At 35.4% G+C, this 17,364-nt stretch overlaps 2 annotated features.

Annotated features, from left to right (window-relative positions):
• Nucleotides 948-1,007: an enhancer, noted in NCBI's record as "active region_23062". NCBI's record gives its function as "activates an Ori minimal core promoter by ATAC-STARR-seq in GM12878 lymphoblastoid cells {active_cell/tissue: GM12878}" and the evidence as "EXISTENCE:reporter gene assay evidence [ECO:0000049][PMID:35858748]".
• Nucleotides 1,668-1,747: an enhancer, noted in NCBI's record as "active region_23061". NCBI's record gives its function as "activates an Ori minimal core promoter by ATAC-STARR-seq in GM12878 lymphoblastoid cells {active_cell/tissue: GM12878}" and the evidence as "EXISTENCE:reporter gene assay evidence [ECO:0000049][PMID:35858748]".

Raw genomic sequence — 17,364 nt, 5'->3', positions numbered from 1 at the left:
GTAACCTGGCTGGGTGCAGTAGCTCACGCCTGTAATCCTAGTACTTTGGGAGGCCGAGGTGGGTGGATCACTTGAGGCCAGGAGTTTGAGACCAACCTGACCAACATGGTGAAATCCCGTCTCTACTAAAAATACAAAAAAATTAGCCAGGCGTGGTGGCACACTTCTGTGATTCCAGTGACTTGAGAGGCTGAGGCAGGAGAATTGCTTGAACCTAGGAGTTGGAGGTTGCAGTGAGCCAAGGTTGCGCTACTGCACTCCAGCCTGGGCGACAGAGTGAGACTCTCTTGGGGGAAAAAAAAAGAGTGTAATCTGCTCCCCTCCAGCTGGACGGGAATACAGATAAGGTTTTGAGGCCTGGTGCCTTGTAGGAGCCCTGAGTGATCAGGCAGTCGTAGAAGTGCATGAGGTGCCAGGGGTTTCCTTCCAGCAGAACTTGCCTTCTTTATTTGTTGGGCCAGTGACTTCTCAGTTCCAGAGTTATTGCCTTGATGGTCCATGAGTGCTGTTTTGAGATTGACCCCCACTCTCTCTTGAATGAAATATATTTCATCTCTTTTCTTCTTGTATTGATATGTTAATATTTATTTTTTAATAAAGGTGAGATCTAAGGAGACATTATCCACTTTGTTTAAACCCTTCTCTTGGCTGCCATGATCCAACTATCTTCTGGTTTTTCTTCTATCTCTGCCTACAACTTCTCAATACCGTAGTCTCCTGTGGCCCTCCTTTCCCAATCCTCAGTTATGGCTCAGAGTTTCTTTATAGCCATTTTTTTTTTCTCTGAAGGCTCATGACTTCCAAATACTTGATATTCCAAATACTTGATATCAGTATATTGATATTGATAACTCTTGAGTCTTTAATTCTAGCTTTTATTACTTTCCAACTTCCAGCTCCAGCTCTACTTAGATGGCCCGCAAGTTCTTCCATTTTAATAGATCCCTAACCAGGTTCATTATACTTCCCTTAAATGGTTCCTATTTCTGTTTTACTTATCTTTGCAAATGGCAAAAATGACTGATCATTCTCCTAGCCTCAGCTAGGAGGCGATTCTCTCTTCTTTCTTCACTGTTCTTGATAACTATTCATGTGAACTTCCTTTTTCACTTTGCTTGGTATTTTTCCCCCACTGTTCCAGGAAATTGGTAACTCGTTTCTATTTTGCTCTTAATCTTTAGAGCAACCTTAGAGTTTAGGTATATAGTTCCCATTTTACTCATGAGAAAACAGGCTTACTTTTAAAATTATTAATTACACAAAGAAAATGTACATGCATGTTACCTCTAAGCAAATTTAGGCAAAACAGAAATAGAATAAAATATTACAGTGCCCCCTCCCTCCCATTACTCTCCTATGTCTTTAGCAGTGGTTCTCAGCTGGGGAGATTTTGTCCCCTAGGGCAGTGGTCCCCAGACATTTTGGCACCAGGGACAGTTTCATGGAAGACAATTTTTCCATGGACGGGGGTTGGTGGGGGATGCTTTCAGAATGAAACTGTTCCACCTTAGATCATCAGGCATTACACTCTCATAAGGAGCATGCAACCTACATCCCTCGCATGTGCATGCATAGTTCACAGTGGAGTTTGCGCTGCTATGAGAAGTTAATGTTGCAGCTGATCTGACAGGAGGCAGAGTTCAGGCAGTAATGCTCACTCGCCTGCTGCTCACCTGCTGTGCAGCCCGGTTGCTAACAGGCCACTGACCGGTACTGATTTGCAGCCTGGGCATTGGGGACCTCTTCCCTAGGAGATATTTGACAAGGTCTGGAGACAATTTTGATTGCCTTGACTTAGGGGATACTACTGGAATAAAACTACCTATTGGGCACTAAAATATATATATATAAATATATATAATATATAAAAATATATATAAATATATATGTAATATATAAAAATATATAAAAATATATATAATATATAAATATATATAAATATATATAATATATAAAAATATATATAAATATATATAATATATAAAAATATATATAAATATATAAAATATATAAAAATATATAAAAATATATATAAATATATAATATATAAAAATATATATAAAAATATATATAATATATATAAATATATATAATATATAAAAATATATAAATATATAATATATAAATATATACAATATATAAATATACAATATATAAATATATAAATATATAATATATAATATATATTATATATAATATATATATTATATATTATATATATTATATATTATATATAATATATAATATATATTATATATAATATATAATTTATATTTTTAAATATATATTTTAAATATGTTTAATATATATTATATATTTTAAATATATATAATATATATTAATATATATTTTAAATATATAATATATATTATTTAATATATAATATATATTTATTATATTAAATTATATTAAATATATATTAATTATATTAATATATATTTAATATATTAATATATATTTAATATATATTAATATATATTTTAAATATATTTAATATAATTAATATTAAATATATTAAATATAAAAATATATTTTAAATATATATTATAATATATATATAAACAACACCATCACCCACAGTTCCCATTACCTGTTTATAGTCTTGTTTCCTTCCTTTGTTCTTAACACCTTCTAAGGTATTATATCATTACCTTATTATGTTTATTGTTATGGTTTGGAGATATTTTCAAATTTTTACTCTGTATGATATGTATTTGGCACAGTATTCAACAAAATACTGTATTTGGAATCCAAGTGTTTATTATGGCTTTTTAAAAAAAATTAATACATAGATTAAAAATAAATACATAACGCTAGCCAAATAAATATGGATTTTGCACTGTAATTGTAAAAAAATGTGTTTTGCACTGGTAATCCAAAGGAAACAAAATAAAAATAAAAAAAATAATTCTCCTATCCCAAATGTCAGTAGTGCCCAGGTTGAAAAACTGCTCTGGAGGTAATCTGTTATATATCATTTTCCATAACTACACTATCCAATACTGTAACCACTAGCCACGTGAGGCTATTTACACTGAAATTAATTAAAATTAAATAAAAATTCTGTTCCTCAGTGCTATTAAGTACATTTTTAAGTGTTCAATGGCCACACATGGCTACAGAATTAAACAGCATAGATTATAGAACATTTCAATGATTGCAGTAAGATTTGTTGGACAGTGCTTTAGGTATATATCACGCAAATAGATGTTCTGTTTTACATAAATAGAATCATACATACTGTTCTATAGTTTTGTTAATATGTCTTGAAGATTTTTCCATCTAAGTATATATAACTAAAATATGTACTAAGTACATATAACTAAATATTTAAGTTTAATGGTCTGTGATATAGTTCAGTTTTATTAAATTCATAAATTTAATTTATTACAGCAATGTAGTTTAATTTTGCCTTTTTTTAAGTTTATGTGTATGGACTCATATAATACATATTATTTTTATCCAGTTTATTTTACTCAATGCTATGTTTTTAAGATATATCCATGTTATTTCTGTATATCTATAGTTATTCCTTTTAAGTGCTTTATGGTATTCCATTGGATGACCATACCATAGGTTGTTTATCCATTTGACTTTTGTGGGCATTTGAGTTTCTTCCAGTTTGGGGATATAATGAATAATTCTGGCATGAATATTCTGTACTTATTTCCTGAAAGTATATTTTTATGCAGGTTATACATGGGAATGGAATTATTGGTCCACTGAAATTTACTAGATTATGCCACTTTCTTAAAATAGTTGCATTCTTCTTCTTATTATTATTTTTGAGATGGAGCCTTGCTCTGTCGCCTAGGCTGGAGTGCAGTGGTGTGATCTCAGCTCACTGCAACTTTCATCTCCTGGGTTCAAGCGATTCTCCTGCCTCAGCCTCCTGAGTACATGGGATTACAGGTATGTGCTATCATGCCCAGCTAATTTTTGTATCTTTGGTAGAGATGGGGTTTCACCATGTTCCAGGCTAGTCTTGAACTCCTGACCTCAAGTGATCTGCCCGCCTCGGCCTCCCAAAGTGTTGGGATTACAGACGAGAGCCACGTTGCCTGGCCGCATTTTTTTCTTAATAGCAGTATGTGAGAGTTCCCCTCTAAACTGCATCCTAAGCAGTATCTTTGTATTTGTCAGACTTTTAAAGTTCAAACTTCCTGGTGGCATGTGGTTGTATCCCATAGTTTTATTTTGCACTTCTTTGATTATGAATGATACAGAACACTTTCATATATTTATCAGTCTTTTGAATATTTTCTTTTATGAGTTCTTTTTGAGTCTCTAGACCATTTATCTATTGAGTTGTTTTATTAATTTGTAGAAAGACTTTGTATATTCTGGATACAAGCCTTTTATTGGTTGTATATGTTGTGTAGATATTCTCCACCTTTAGTGGCTGCTTGCCTTTTCTGTCTCTCTTAATGGTGATTTTTGATTTGTTTTGAGAAATATCAACCTTTCTTCTTAAGATTATTCAATAACAGCAAAGTAACAATGAGAAACTACTGTCAGTTTAAGTGGGTTTAGCTCCTCAGTTCCAAGGTATATAATCACTTAAATATAACCTGGAAAAAAAAACAAAAATATTTCTCTAAATCATGGTCTTTGTAAAAAAATGAATTAAATCTTCTCTGTTCTCTCATATTGTATTCCAATTTTGGATGTAGCCACCAGTGAGATAGCAAATGTCTAAATTTGGATACATCACTTAAATATTTAGAACGTCATTGGTTTCTTCAAACAGTGGAAAATTCTTGCCATGCCTACCTTATAGACTTTGTATAATGCTATTATCAATGCTAGCTGATACTAACTTAGAAGATGATTATACATTTTTAAACAGCTCTTCCTATCCTGGTTCTACAATAAGACACTGACTCCACCACATACTGGATGACCTAGAGCAAGTTAACTTAATGACACTGTGCATTAATTTACTTTGCTATAACAATGGGATAATATATCAATTCATGTTATTATTGCAGCTATTGTTCAGATAGAACAATTGAGAGAATTTATAAACAAAATGACTAAGCAGATGAGTTAGTTTTCCTAATTGGCCAGCTTAAGGGAGAGAGTTATAAGGGCTATAGAGTTCTAGATGAAATTATAACATCACCTCAAAGAGAGAGCAACTTACCTCTGGTCAGGCTTTCTTCCTGAAGTGTTTCTTGGGAGAGGGTGAGCAGAGTGGTCAAGAGCCTATCTATTTATTTCAGTGGGCTAAGCATAGATGTCCTTGAGAGAAGACTTCCTTGGTCCTTTAGGTAATGTAAGTCCTTCAACTTCATTCTTTTTCAAAATTGTTCTGACTATTCTGGGTCCCTTTTATTTCCATGTGAATTTTAGGATCAGCTTGTCAATTTCTACAACAAGCCCAGCTAAGATTTTGATAGGTTTTACCTTGTTCTTGCTCTTAGGAGCCAAGCAGCCCATCTTTCACCATTAAGTATGATGTTAGTTGTGAGAGTTTCGTATCTGTCTTTATCACATTAAGAATGTTCTCTTCTATTCCTAGTCTGTGGAGAGGTTTTTTGTTTGTTTGTTTGTTTGTTTGTTTGTTTTTTTAGACAGAGTCTCACTCTGTCATCCAGGCTGGAGTGCAGTACAATCTCTGCTCTCTGCTCTCTGCAACCTCCACCTCCCGGGCTCAAGTGATTCTCCTGCCTCAGTCTCCTGAGTAGCTGGGATTACAGGTGTGCGCCACCACATCCAGCTAATTTTTGTATTTTTAGTAGAGACGGGGTTTTACCGTGCTGGCCAGGCTGGTTTCAAATTCCTGACCTCAGGTGATCCACCCGCGTTGGCCTCCCAAAGTGCTGAGGTTACAGGTCTGAACCATCATGCCCAGCCTAGATTTTTTTTTAAAAATCATAAATAGGTGTTGAATTTTGTCAAATGCCTTTCCTGCGTCTGTGGAAATAATCATGTGTCCTTTATTCTATGTAGTCTCTTACATTAATTGCATGTTAAACCAACCTCATATTCTTGCAGAAATCTCACTTGGTCATGGTGTATACATTCTTTTTACATATTCCTGGATTTAGTTTGCTAATAATTAAGGATTCTCATGATGATGTTCATGAGGGTTTTGTAGTTTTCTTTTTGTATGATGTCTTTAGCTTTGGGATTAGGGTAATAAACATCTTAGATTTAGTTGGGATCTGTTCTCTTCTCTATTTTCTGAAGACTTTGTGAAGGATTAGCATTATTTTTTGGTTAAATATTTGATAAAATTCACCAGTGAAGTTATCTGGGCCTAGAATTCTCTTTATGGGAAGATTTTACATTTCTAATTCAGTTTCTTTACTTTTTATAGGCCTATTTAGATTGTTCTGTATATTTTTTAGTTCATTTTGGTAATTTGTACCTTTCTAGGAACTTTTCCACTTCATATTAGTTGCCTGCTTTGTTGGCATAAAGATGTTTACAGCATTTCCTTGTAATTTCTATAGGATCAGTAGTCTATTCTTTCTTTCGTCCCTTTATTGGGTAATTTTTATCTTCTCTATTTTTTTCTTGGTCAGTCTAAAGGTTTGTCAATTTTGTTGATCTTTTCAAATAATCAGCCTTTAGGTTTCTTTGGTTTTCTCTATTTTTCCATTTTCTATTTTGTTGATTTCTGCTCTTATCCTTATTATTTCATTTATTTTGCTTGCTTTGATCATTTTAACTTGCCCCTCCTTTTTTAGTTTCTTAAGGTGAGAGCCTGGGTTATTGATTAGAGACTTTTTTTTAAATATAGGCATTTAAAGCTATACATTTTCTTCTAAGTACCACTTGAAACTGCATCCCATAAATTTTAATATATTGTAGTTTTGTTTTTATTTAGTTCAAAATATATTTTAGTTTTCATTGTGAATTCTTCTTTGACCTATGGGTTATTTAGAAGAATGTTGTTCAATTTCCAAATATTTGAAGATATTCAAGATTTCTTTCTATTTTTTATGTTTAATTCCATGTGGTTGGACAGCATATTCTGTATGAGTTAAATCTTTAAAATTTATCAGGACTTGGTTTGTGACCTAACATATGGTCTTTCCTGGAGGATGTTCTGTGTGAGCTTGAAAGGAATGTGTATTCTGCTGTTTTTTGATGGAGAATTCTATAGGTGTCAGGTGAAATTGGTTGATAGCATTGTTCAGATCTTGTATATCCTTCCTGATTTTCTGTGTGGTTGTTTTACCAGTTCATAAGAGTGAGGTATTCAAAATATCCAGCTATTATTGAATTACCTATTTCTTCTTTCAGCACTGTCAATTGTTGTTTTATGTCTTTCGGGGCTTTCATTAAGTGATATACATCTATAATTATTACATCTTTTTGATATATTGACTCTTGTTACATTATAAAATGTTTCCTTTTGTCTCTAGCAGTATTTCTTATTCTAAAGTTTATTTTGTCAGATATTAATACAGCCACCCCATCTCTCTTGTAGTTGTTGTTTGCATGGTACATCTTTTACCTCTTTTTTTTTTTTTAAGACAGGGTCTCACCCTGTTGCCAGGCTGGAGTGCAGTGGCGTCATCTCAGCTCACCCAAACCTCTGCCTCCCGGGTTCAAGTGGCTCTCCTGCCTCAGCCTCCCAAGTAGCTGAGATTACAGGCACATACCACCACGCCCAGATAATTTTTGTATTTTTAGTAGATATGAGGTCTCACCATGTTGGCCAGGCTGGTCTCAAACTCCTGGCCTCAAGTGATCCACCCACCTTGGCCTCCCAAAGTGCTGGGATTACAGGTGTGAACCACTGCGCCTGGCTTACCTTTTTTTTTTTTTTTAACCTTAAAAACCTTTTTAGATTATTTGAATCTAAAGTGTGTCTTTGTATGTAGCATGTATTTGGATCTTGTTTTATTTATTCAATCTGAAAAGCTCTGAGTTTGCTAAGAAAAATCAAGGTGGTTCAGTGGTAGAGAATCTCAGAGCAGAAGGGTTTCAGATAGATTGTTTAGGGATGATCTCTTTGTAGTGGTGACATAAAGCTGATACTAAAGACTAGAAGGAATCAAAGTGTGAAGAAGGGAAGGGAAAGGAAAGAGCATTATAAATCAAGAGAACAGACCCTGAGTGATAGGAGAGCTTGACATTTTTGAAGAACTGAAAGAGAAGCTGGTTCATAGTGAGCAAAGGGAATGTGGTGGCAGATGAAGGGTAGTATGCTAAACAAGGGTGACACTGCGGAATCTTGAAGTCTATGGTGAAAAGTTTGTATTTTATTGAAAAAGTAGTGTGAAGTCATTGAAATTTTTGAAGAGTAGAAGAAACTTGATCCAATTTGTGTGTACAAAATCTGAATCTAAACCTTGGTAAGCAAGAAATAGCATATTGTAGGCTGGGCATGGTGGCTCACGCCTGTAATCCCAGCTCTTTGGGATGCCGAGGCGGGTGGATCGCCTGAGGTCGGGATTTCGAGACCAGCCTGGCCAGCATGGTGAAACCCCGTCTCTACTAAAAATACGAAAACTAGCTGGGGATGGTGGCAGGTGCCTGTAATCCCAGCTACTCTGGAAGCTGAAGCAGGAGAATCACCTGAACCCAGGAGGTGGAGGTTTCAGTGAGCCGAGATTGCGCCATTGCACTCCAGCCTGGGTAACAGAGTAAGACTCCATCTCAAAAAAAAAAAAAAAAAAAAAAAAAAAAAAAAAAGAAAGCAAGAAATAGCGTATTGTAATTTTTTTCCTAATTCAAATTAAATTTGACTTAGATACTCTTCCCTGATGAGCTGGTGAGAAATGTATTGTCAGTCACTATTAGGGCTGTGTCACCTCAGAAGTTCCCACCAAACTAACAAGGTTGCTAGAAAATAGAAGGAAAACTTCTAACTTTGAGTTTGTCATGGTCATTGGGCTAGTATGTGGATGTTTGTCCATATCCACAGTTTCCTTAAAGGATGGTAGTTTTCTGCTTCTATGCCACTTTGGGGTTCATGAAACTGGAGATGACAAGTCCTGGTACTCTTTTTGGTGTACCATGGAACCATCATTTTTTAGGTCTAATTCTTTCTTAGAGATGCTGCCTGTGAGTGTGGTAGTCAGTTCTCTTTATTATACTTTTTCTTTTTTCCTCCCTCTTCTGACCTTTCCTTTTGTTTTCAGAAATTACTCTAGAATGTATACTCTTCTCTTGTTACCATTAAAAACTTAACAGGATTTTACTTTGATTTTTACAAAAGACACGAAGTGCAATTACCTGGATTAGCTTCTTCTATGAAGAAAAATAAAGCAGCCTAACAGGGTAGAGATTGATAGAGTCTACTATCTTAAATAGAGAGACTAGGAAACTCTCTCTTAGTAGAGTCATTTGAGTAGAATCCTGAAGGCAGTAAAAGAAAATAACATTTCACGCAAAGGGAATAACAAATACAAGGTGTCTGGGAATGGAGAGTAGTTGGTGTTTTTGAGGAAAAGTAAAGGTCAGGCTACTGTGGCTGGAACGAATGAACAAGGTTAAGGAGCTTTAGTAGATGAAGTAGCCAGATATCAGAGCATGCAGAACCTTGAAAGTCGGGGGAAGGACTTTGAGGTTTTACTATGAGTGAGATCATAGAAGATTATTTTGTAGAGTAGACTACAGAGGGGACAAGGGCATGCAAGAAAAAACCAGACTGGACACCTAGATATTGAACTTACTAAATAAAGACATTAAGCCAACTGTTATAAATATTTTCAAAGAACTAAAGACAACTATGTCTAAAGAATTAAAGTTTGAGAATGATGTCTTACTTAATAGAGAATATCAATTAAAAGATATAAGTTATTTTACAAACCAGATGGATATTCTGGTTGACAAATACAATAACTGAAATGTAAAATTCACTAAAGGGACTCATCATCCTTTTTGAACTTGCAAAATAAAGAATCAGTGAACTTAAGATCACCCAGTCTGAGAAACAGAAAGAAAAAAGAATGCAGAAAAATGAACAGAGCCATACAGATTTGTGAGAAACCATCACATGTATCAATACATGCATAAGGAGAATCCCAAAAGAAAAGAAAAAGAAAGGGCAGAAAGAATATTTGAAGATATGATGGCAAGAAACTACAAATTTGATAACAAACACTAATCTGCACACTAAGAAACTAGTGAACTCCAAGTAGGATAAACCTAGAGACACGTCATAGTCAAACTATTGAAAGCCAAAGATCAAGAAAGAATCTTGGCCAGGCACAGTGGCTCATGCCTGTAATACCAGCACTTTGGGAAGCTGAGGTGGACAGATTACTTGAGCTCACAAGTTTGAGAGCAGCCTGGGCAACATGGAGAAACCCTGTCTCTACAAAAAATACAAAAATTAGCCAGGCGTGGTGTTGCATGCCTGTAGTCCCAGCTACTCGGGAGGCTGAGATGGGAGGAAATAGAGGTTGTGGTGAGCCAAGATTGTGCCACTGCACTTCAGGCTGGGCAATAGAACCAGACCTCTCAAAAAGAAAGAGAGAGGCCGGGCGCGGTGGCTCACGCCTGTAATCCCAGCACTTTGGGAGGCTGAGGCGGGCGGATCACGAGGTCAGGAGATCGAGACCATCCTGGCTAACACGGTGAAACCCCGTCTCTACTAAAAATACAAAAAATTAGCCGGCCGTGGTAGCGGGCGCCTGTAGTCCCAGCTACTCGGGAGGCTGAGGCAGGAGAATGGCGTGAACCTGGGAGGCGGAGCTTGCAGTGAGCCGAGATCGCGCCACTGCACTCCAGCCTGGGCGACAGAGCGAGACTCCGTCTCAAAAAAAAAAAAAGAAAAAGAGAGAGAGAGAGAGAGAGAATATTGAAAATAGAAAGAGAAGGCAGCAAGGCATGTTCAATAAAATTAACAGCTTTCTTTTCATTAGAAACTGTGGATACCACAGAAGGCAGAGGGATGATGTATTCAAAGTGCTGAAAGAAAAGGACTGTCAACTAGGAGTTGTATATTCAGCAAAGCTAGTCTTCAAAAATTAAGGTGAATTTAAAACATTCCCATGTAAACAAAAACAGAATTCTTCACTAGCAGACATGCCCTATAAGAAATATGAAAGGGGGTTCTTTAGGTTGAAATGACAGGACACTAAATAGTAACTTGAATCCACACAGAGAAATAAAGAGTACTGGTAAAGATAACTCTATAGGTAAATGTAAAAGTCAGTATAAATATTATTTTTGTTTGTAACCTTTTTCTTCTATCTGATTCAAAAGACAACTACATAAAGCAATAATTATAATTATATATTTAATAATGTGTAAGGATATTCTTTTAATGCCAATAATAATAAAAGGAGAGGAGAAGGAATGGAGCTGTACGGGAACAGGGTTTTTATATATTATTGAAATTACGTCAATATTACTCTGAGCTAGATTGCTTTAAGTTAAGACGTTAATTGCAGTCCCCAGGGCAAATACTAATAAAAGAACTAAAAAAAGTGGTAAAATAGCTAACAAGTGGATTAAAATGGTATACTAGAAAACTAACACAAAAGAAGGCAGTAATGAAAGGATAGAGGAACATAAAGGCATGTACAGAAAACAGCAAAATGGCAAATGTAAATCTCATCAGTAATTCCAAGAAATGAAATGGGCACTACAGTCAAAAGGCATAGATTAAGAGAATGAATAAAATAACATAATCCAACTATATGCTATCTATGAGACAAATATATATTCAGAGAAACAAATAGGTTGAAAGTGAAAAGATGGAAGAAGATACAGAATACAACAATTCTCCAAAAAAGAACTGGAGAGGCTGTGCTAGTATTAGACAAAATAGACTTTGAGACAAAAATTGTTACTAGAGACCAAGAAGAACATTTTATATTAAAAAGGTCAGTCCATCAAAAAAACATAACAATTATAAACATATGCACCTAAGAGCAGAGCCTCAAAATAAATGAGGCAAAACCCAGCAGAATTAAAGGAAAATAGACAATTCAACAATAATAGTTGGAGATGTCAATACCTCACTTTGAAAAATGGATACAACATATAGGTAGATGATCACTGGGGAACTAGAAGACTTCAGCAACACTATAAACCAACTAGTCTAATAGACACCTATAAAACACTCTCCCCAACAGTGTAAGGCACATTCTTCTCAAATACACATTTAAAATTCTTTTCTCCCTTTCTTTCTTTTTTTTTTTTTGGACAGGATATTGTTCTGTGGTCTAGGCTGGAGTGCAGTGGCATGATCACAGCTCACTACAGCTGCAAAGTCCTGGGCTCAAGCAGTCTTCCTGCTCCAGCCTCCCAAATATCTGGGACTATAGGTGTGCACCACCATGCTTCGCTAATATTTTTGTTTTAGTAGAGAAAGGGTCTCACTATGTTGCCCAGACTGGTCTTGAACTCTTGGCCTCAAGCAGTCCTCCCACCTGGCTTCCCAGATAGGGAATTATAGGCATGAGCTACTGCAGCCAACCTCTAGACCTCATGTCAGACCATAAAATAAGTCTCAATAAACTTAAAAGAATTCAAATTATATAAAGTATGTTTTAACTACAACAGTAGAAATTCGAAACCAATAACAAGAAAATTTGGGAAATTCACTAATATGTGGAAATTTGTTAACATACTCCTACATAACCAGTAGGTCAAATAAGGAATCACAAGAGAAATTAGAAAGTATTTTGAGATGAGTGTAAATGAAAATACAATATACCAAAACTTAGAGGATGTAGCTAAAGCAGCGCTTAGAGGAAAATTTATGGATGTAAACACCTGTATTTAAAAAGGAGAAAAATATTAAATTAAAACATAATCTTTTACCCTAGGAAATCAGAAAAGAGCTAACTTGAGCCAAGGCAAACAGAAGGAAATAAAGACTAACACAGAAATAAATTAAGTAGAGAATAGAAACACAGTAAAAAAAATCAGTAAAACCAAAAGTGGATTTAAAAAAAAATCAACAAAATGTACAAACCTTTGGCTAGGTTAACCAATAAAAAAATACAGAGGACTCAAATAACTCAACTATTAGAAGAAAATATTGGACTAAATCTTCCTGACCTTACGTAGGTAATGATCTCTCATATATTACATCAAAGGCATACAGAATCAAAGAAAAATTTGATATATTGGTTTTAAATATATATTGGACTTCATCAAAATTGTAAAATTCTGATGTTTTACAGGACGCTGTTGAGAAAGTGCAGACAGACTCCAGAATAAGTAGGTGGTGGCGGGGGAGGGCAGCGGATATTTGCAAATCACATATCTGAACTTGTATCAAGAATATATAGAGAACTGTTACAACTCAACAGTAAAAAGACAACCCTATTTATTTATTTATTTATTTATTTTGAGACAAAGTCTCGCTCTTGTCCCCCAGGCTGGAGTGCAGTGGCACGATCTCAGCTCACTGCAACCTCCGCCTCCCAGGTTCAAGCGATTCTCCTGCCTCAGCCTCCCAAGTAGCTGGTATTACAGGCGCCTGCCACCACGCCTGGCTAATTTTTGTATTTTTAGTAGAGATGGGGTTTCACTATGTTGGCCAGGTTGGTCTCGAACTCCTGACCTCAGGTGATCCACCTGCCTGGGCCTCCCAAAGAGCTGGGATTACAGGCGTGAGCCACCATGCCTGGCCAACAACTCAATTTAAAAGTGGGCAAAGAATTTGAATAGAAATTTCCTCAGAAAAGATATACAAATGGCCAATAAATACATGAAAAGATGCTCAGCATCACTAATCATTAGGGAAATGCAAATCAAAACCACAGTGAGATACCACTTCCTATACAGTAGGATGGCTAAAATAAAAAAAGACAGAAAATTACTAGTGTTGGCGAAGATGTGGAGAGATTAGAAACTTCATTCATTGCTGGTGGGGTTGTAAAATGATGCAGCCACCTTGGAAGACAGATTGGCAGCTCCTCATACAGTTAAACATACAGTTACCATATGACCCAACTATTTCATTCCTGGGTACATACCCAAGATAAATGAAAATATATATCCACACAAAAACTTGTACATGAATGTACATAGCAGAATTATTCATAATTAACCAGAGAGTAGAAACAACCCAAATGCCCATCAACTGACCAATAAATAAACAAAATGTGGTATATCCATACTATGGAATATTATTCAGCAAAATAAAAAGGAATGAAGTGCTGATGCATGCTGTAATATGGATGAAACTTAGAAAAATTATACTAAGTGAAAGAAGCCAGACACAAAAGGCCACATATTGTTTAATTCCATTTATATGTAATATCTAGAATAGCCAAATGCATAGAAATAGATATTAGACTAGTGGTTGCCAAGGGATGGAAAAGGGGGATCAGGGAGTGATTGCTGATGGATACGGGCTTTCTCTTTGATATGACAAAAATGCTCTGGAATTAGAGGTGATGGCTGTGTAATTTAAAACTACGCTTTACTTTACATGAATTTTATGGTATGTGAATTATCAGTAAAGCTGTTAAGAAAAGTAAGTTCACTCAATTTTACATTTAAGACAAAAGATCCCCAATTGTGGTGGATGGAAGAACATCCTCACTCTTCATCAAGGCCAGTACATTAACCAAAGAACATTTGATGAAGGAGTCCGTCAGTTCTTGAATTTCCTGATGAAGAAACAACTGGTTGGCTAGCAAAGAAAAGCTGTACTTTAGAAATTTATCTTTTTGTTTCTTAGATGGTCTACTAAACTATGCTTCAAACATAGGATTGTAGAAATCTGAATATAATAGTAATTACAAGAAATACAAATGCATTGAACTTAGCAATTAGAAGAGACATATTCACTTAATGTTCGACAAATACTCAGTGTATATTATATGCCAGGCTCTGCTGTAAATACATGGGGCATCAGCAAGCAAACTAGACAAGAATTTCCACCCTCATGGAACTAATGTTCTAGTTAAGGGAAAAAGTCCAATAAAATACACTGGTTAAGTATGTTTTTTGTATGTTAAAATATATTAGGTGCTATGAATAAAATAGAGTAGTGTGAGCAAGGCTGGGGGTGCTGGGAAGTTGGAATTTAATGTTCTCAGATTCAATAAAAAATTTAGCTATATTATGTTTACAAAAGACACATAAAACTCGAGAATACAGAAAGGTTGAGTGTAAAGGAATTATATATATGCTAGACAATTAGAAAAAAGTATGCTGATATGGCAATATTAGTATCAGACAAAATGATCTTTAAGGCAAATGATGTTAAGGATGCTAAACTTGCTTGGGCATTATAATACAGCATATAAATATTAAAACAAATACAAAATTACAAGGAAGAATTGATAAAGCTGTAATTATTGTGGGATATTTTAATGTACCTATTCAGTAAATAGAGCAAATCAAAAAATAAAGCAAATAAGTAAAGCAAATCAAAGCACAGTAAGGTTATTGATAATTTGAACAACACATTTCACAAGGTTGATACAATGAACACATAGAGAACCCTGCATGTTCATTTCAAGTGCTTATAGAATATCTTTTAAAAATTCCCCACATACTAGGTTATAAAACAAACCTCAGGTTCCCAAAATAAGGAACTGAACAGACCATGTTCTCTGATAATCATTCCTTGAAGTCAGAAAGTAACAAAAGTGACTTTTAAAAGCTCATGTTTTAAAAATTTAAATATACAGTTAAATAGCTAATGAAAAAGTTATGATGTCACTATAGAAATTAGAAAATATTAGAATGGAATGAATATAATAAAAATATATATCAGATCTTGAGGGATGCATTTAGATTGTCTTGGAGCAATATTTACAGCCCTTATTTATTTATTTATTTTTTATTATTATTATACTTTAAGTTTTAGGGTACATGTGCACAATGTGCAGGTTAGTTACATATGTATACATGTGCCATGCTGGTGCGCTGCACCCACTAACTCGTCATCTAGCATTAGGTATATCTCCCAGTGCTATCCCTCCCCCCTCCCCCCACCCCACAACAGTCCCCAGAGTGTGATGTTCCCCTTCCTGTGTCCATGTGTTGTCATTGTTCAATTCCCACCTATGAGTGAGAATATGCGGTGTTTGGTTTTTTGTTCTTGCGATAGTTTACTGAGAATGATGATTTCCAGTTTCATCCATGTCCCTGCAAAGGACATGAACTCATCCTTTTTTATGGCTGCATAGTATTCCATGGTGTATATGTGCCACATTTTCTTAATCCAGTCTATCATTGTTGGACATTTGGCTTGGTTCCAAGTCTTTGCTATTGTGAATAATGGCGCAATAAACATACATGTGCATGTGTCTTTATAGCAGCATGATTTATAGTCCTTTGGGTATATACCCAGTAATGGGATGGCTGGGTCAAATGGTATTTCTAGTTCTAGATCCCTGAGGAATCACCACACTGACTTCCACAATGGTTGAACTAGTTTACAGTTCCACCAACAGTGTAAAAGTGTTCCTATTTCTCCACATTCTCTCCAGCACCTGTTGTTTCCTGACTTTTTAATGATCGCCATTCTAACTGGTGTGAGATGGTATCTCATTGTGGTTTTGATTTGCATTTCTCTGATGGCCAGTGATGGTGAGCATTTTTTCATATGTTTTTTGGCTGCATAAATGTCTTCTTTTGAGAAGTGTCTGTTCATGTCCTTCGCCCACTTTTTGATGGGGTTGTTTGTTTTTTTCTTGTAAATTTGTTTGAGTTCATTGTAGATTCTGGATATTAGCCCTTTGTCAGATGAGTAGGTTGTGAAAATTTTCTCCCATTTTGTAGGTTGCCTGTTCACTCTGATGGTAGTTTCTTTTGCTGTGCAGAAGCTCTTTAGTTTAATCAGATCCCATTTGTCAATTTTGGCTTTTGTTGCCATTGCTTTTGGTGTTTTAGACATGAAGTCCTTGCCTATGCCTATGTCCTGAATGGTAATGCCTAGGTTTTCTTCTAGGGTTTTTATGGTTTTAGGTCTAACGTTTAAGTCTTTAATCCATCTTGAATTGATTTTTATATAAGGTGTAAGCAAGGGATCCAGTTTCAGCTTTCTACATATGGCTAGCCAGTTTTCCCAGCACCATTTATTAAATAGGGAATCCTTTCCCCATTGCTTGTTTTTCTCAGGTTTGTCAAAGATCAGATAGTTGTAGATATGCGGCGTTATTTCTGAGGGCTCTGTTCTGTTCCATTGGTCTATATCTCTGTTTTGGTACCAGTACCATGCTGTTTTGGTTACTGTAGCCTTGTAGTATAGTTTGAAGTCAGGTAGCGTGATGCCTCCAGCTTTGTTCTTTTGGCTTACGATTGACTTGGCGATGCGGGCTCTTTTTTGGTTCCATATGAACTTTAAAGTAGTTTTTTCCAATTCTGTGAAGAAAGTCATTGGTAGCTTGATGGGGATGGCATTGAATCTGTAAATTACCTTGGGCAGTATGGCCATTTTCACGATATTGATTCTTCCTACCCATGAGGATGGAATGT

This window comes from Homo sapiens, chromosome 5, assembly GCF_000001405.40.
Source record: "Homo sapiens chromosome 5, GRCh38.p14 Primary Assembly".
Lineage (NCBI taxonomy): Eukaryota > Metazoa > Chordata > Mammalia > Primates > Hominidae > Homo > Homo sapiens.
Note: the sequence above shows the minus strand (reverse complement) of the source record. Positions and strands in the feature narration are given on the sequence as shown.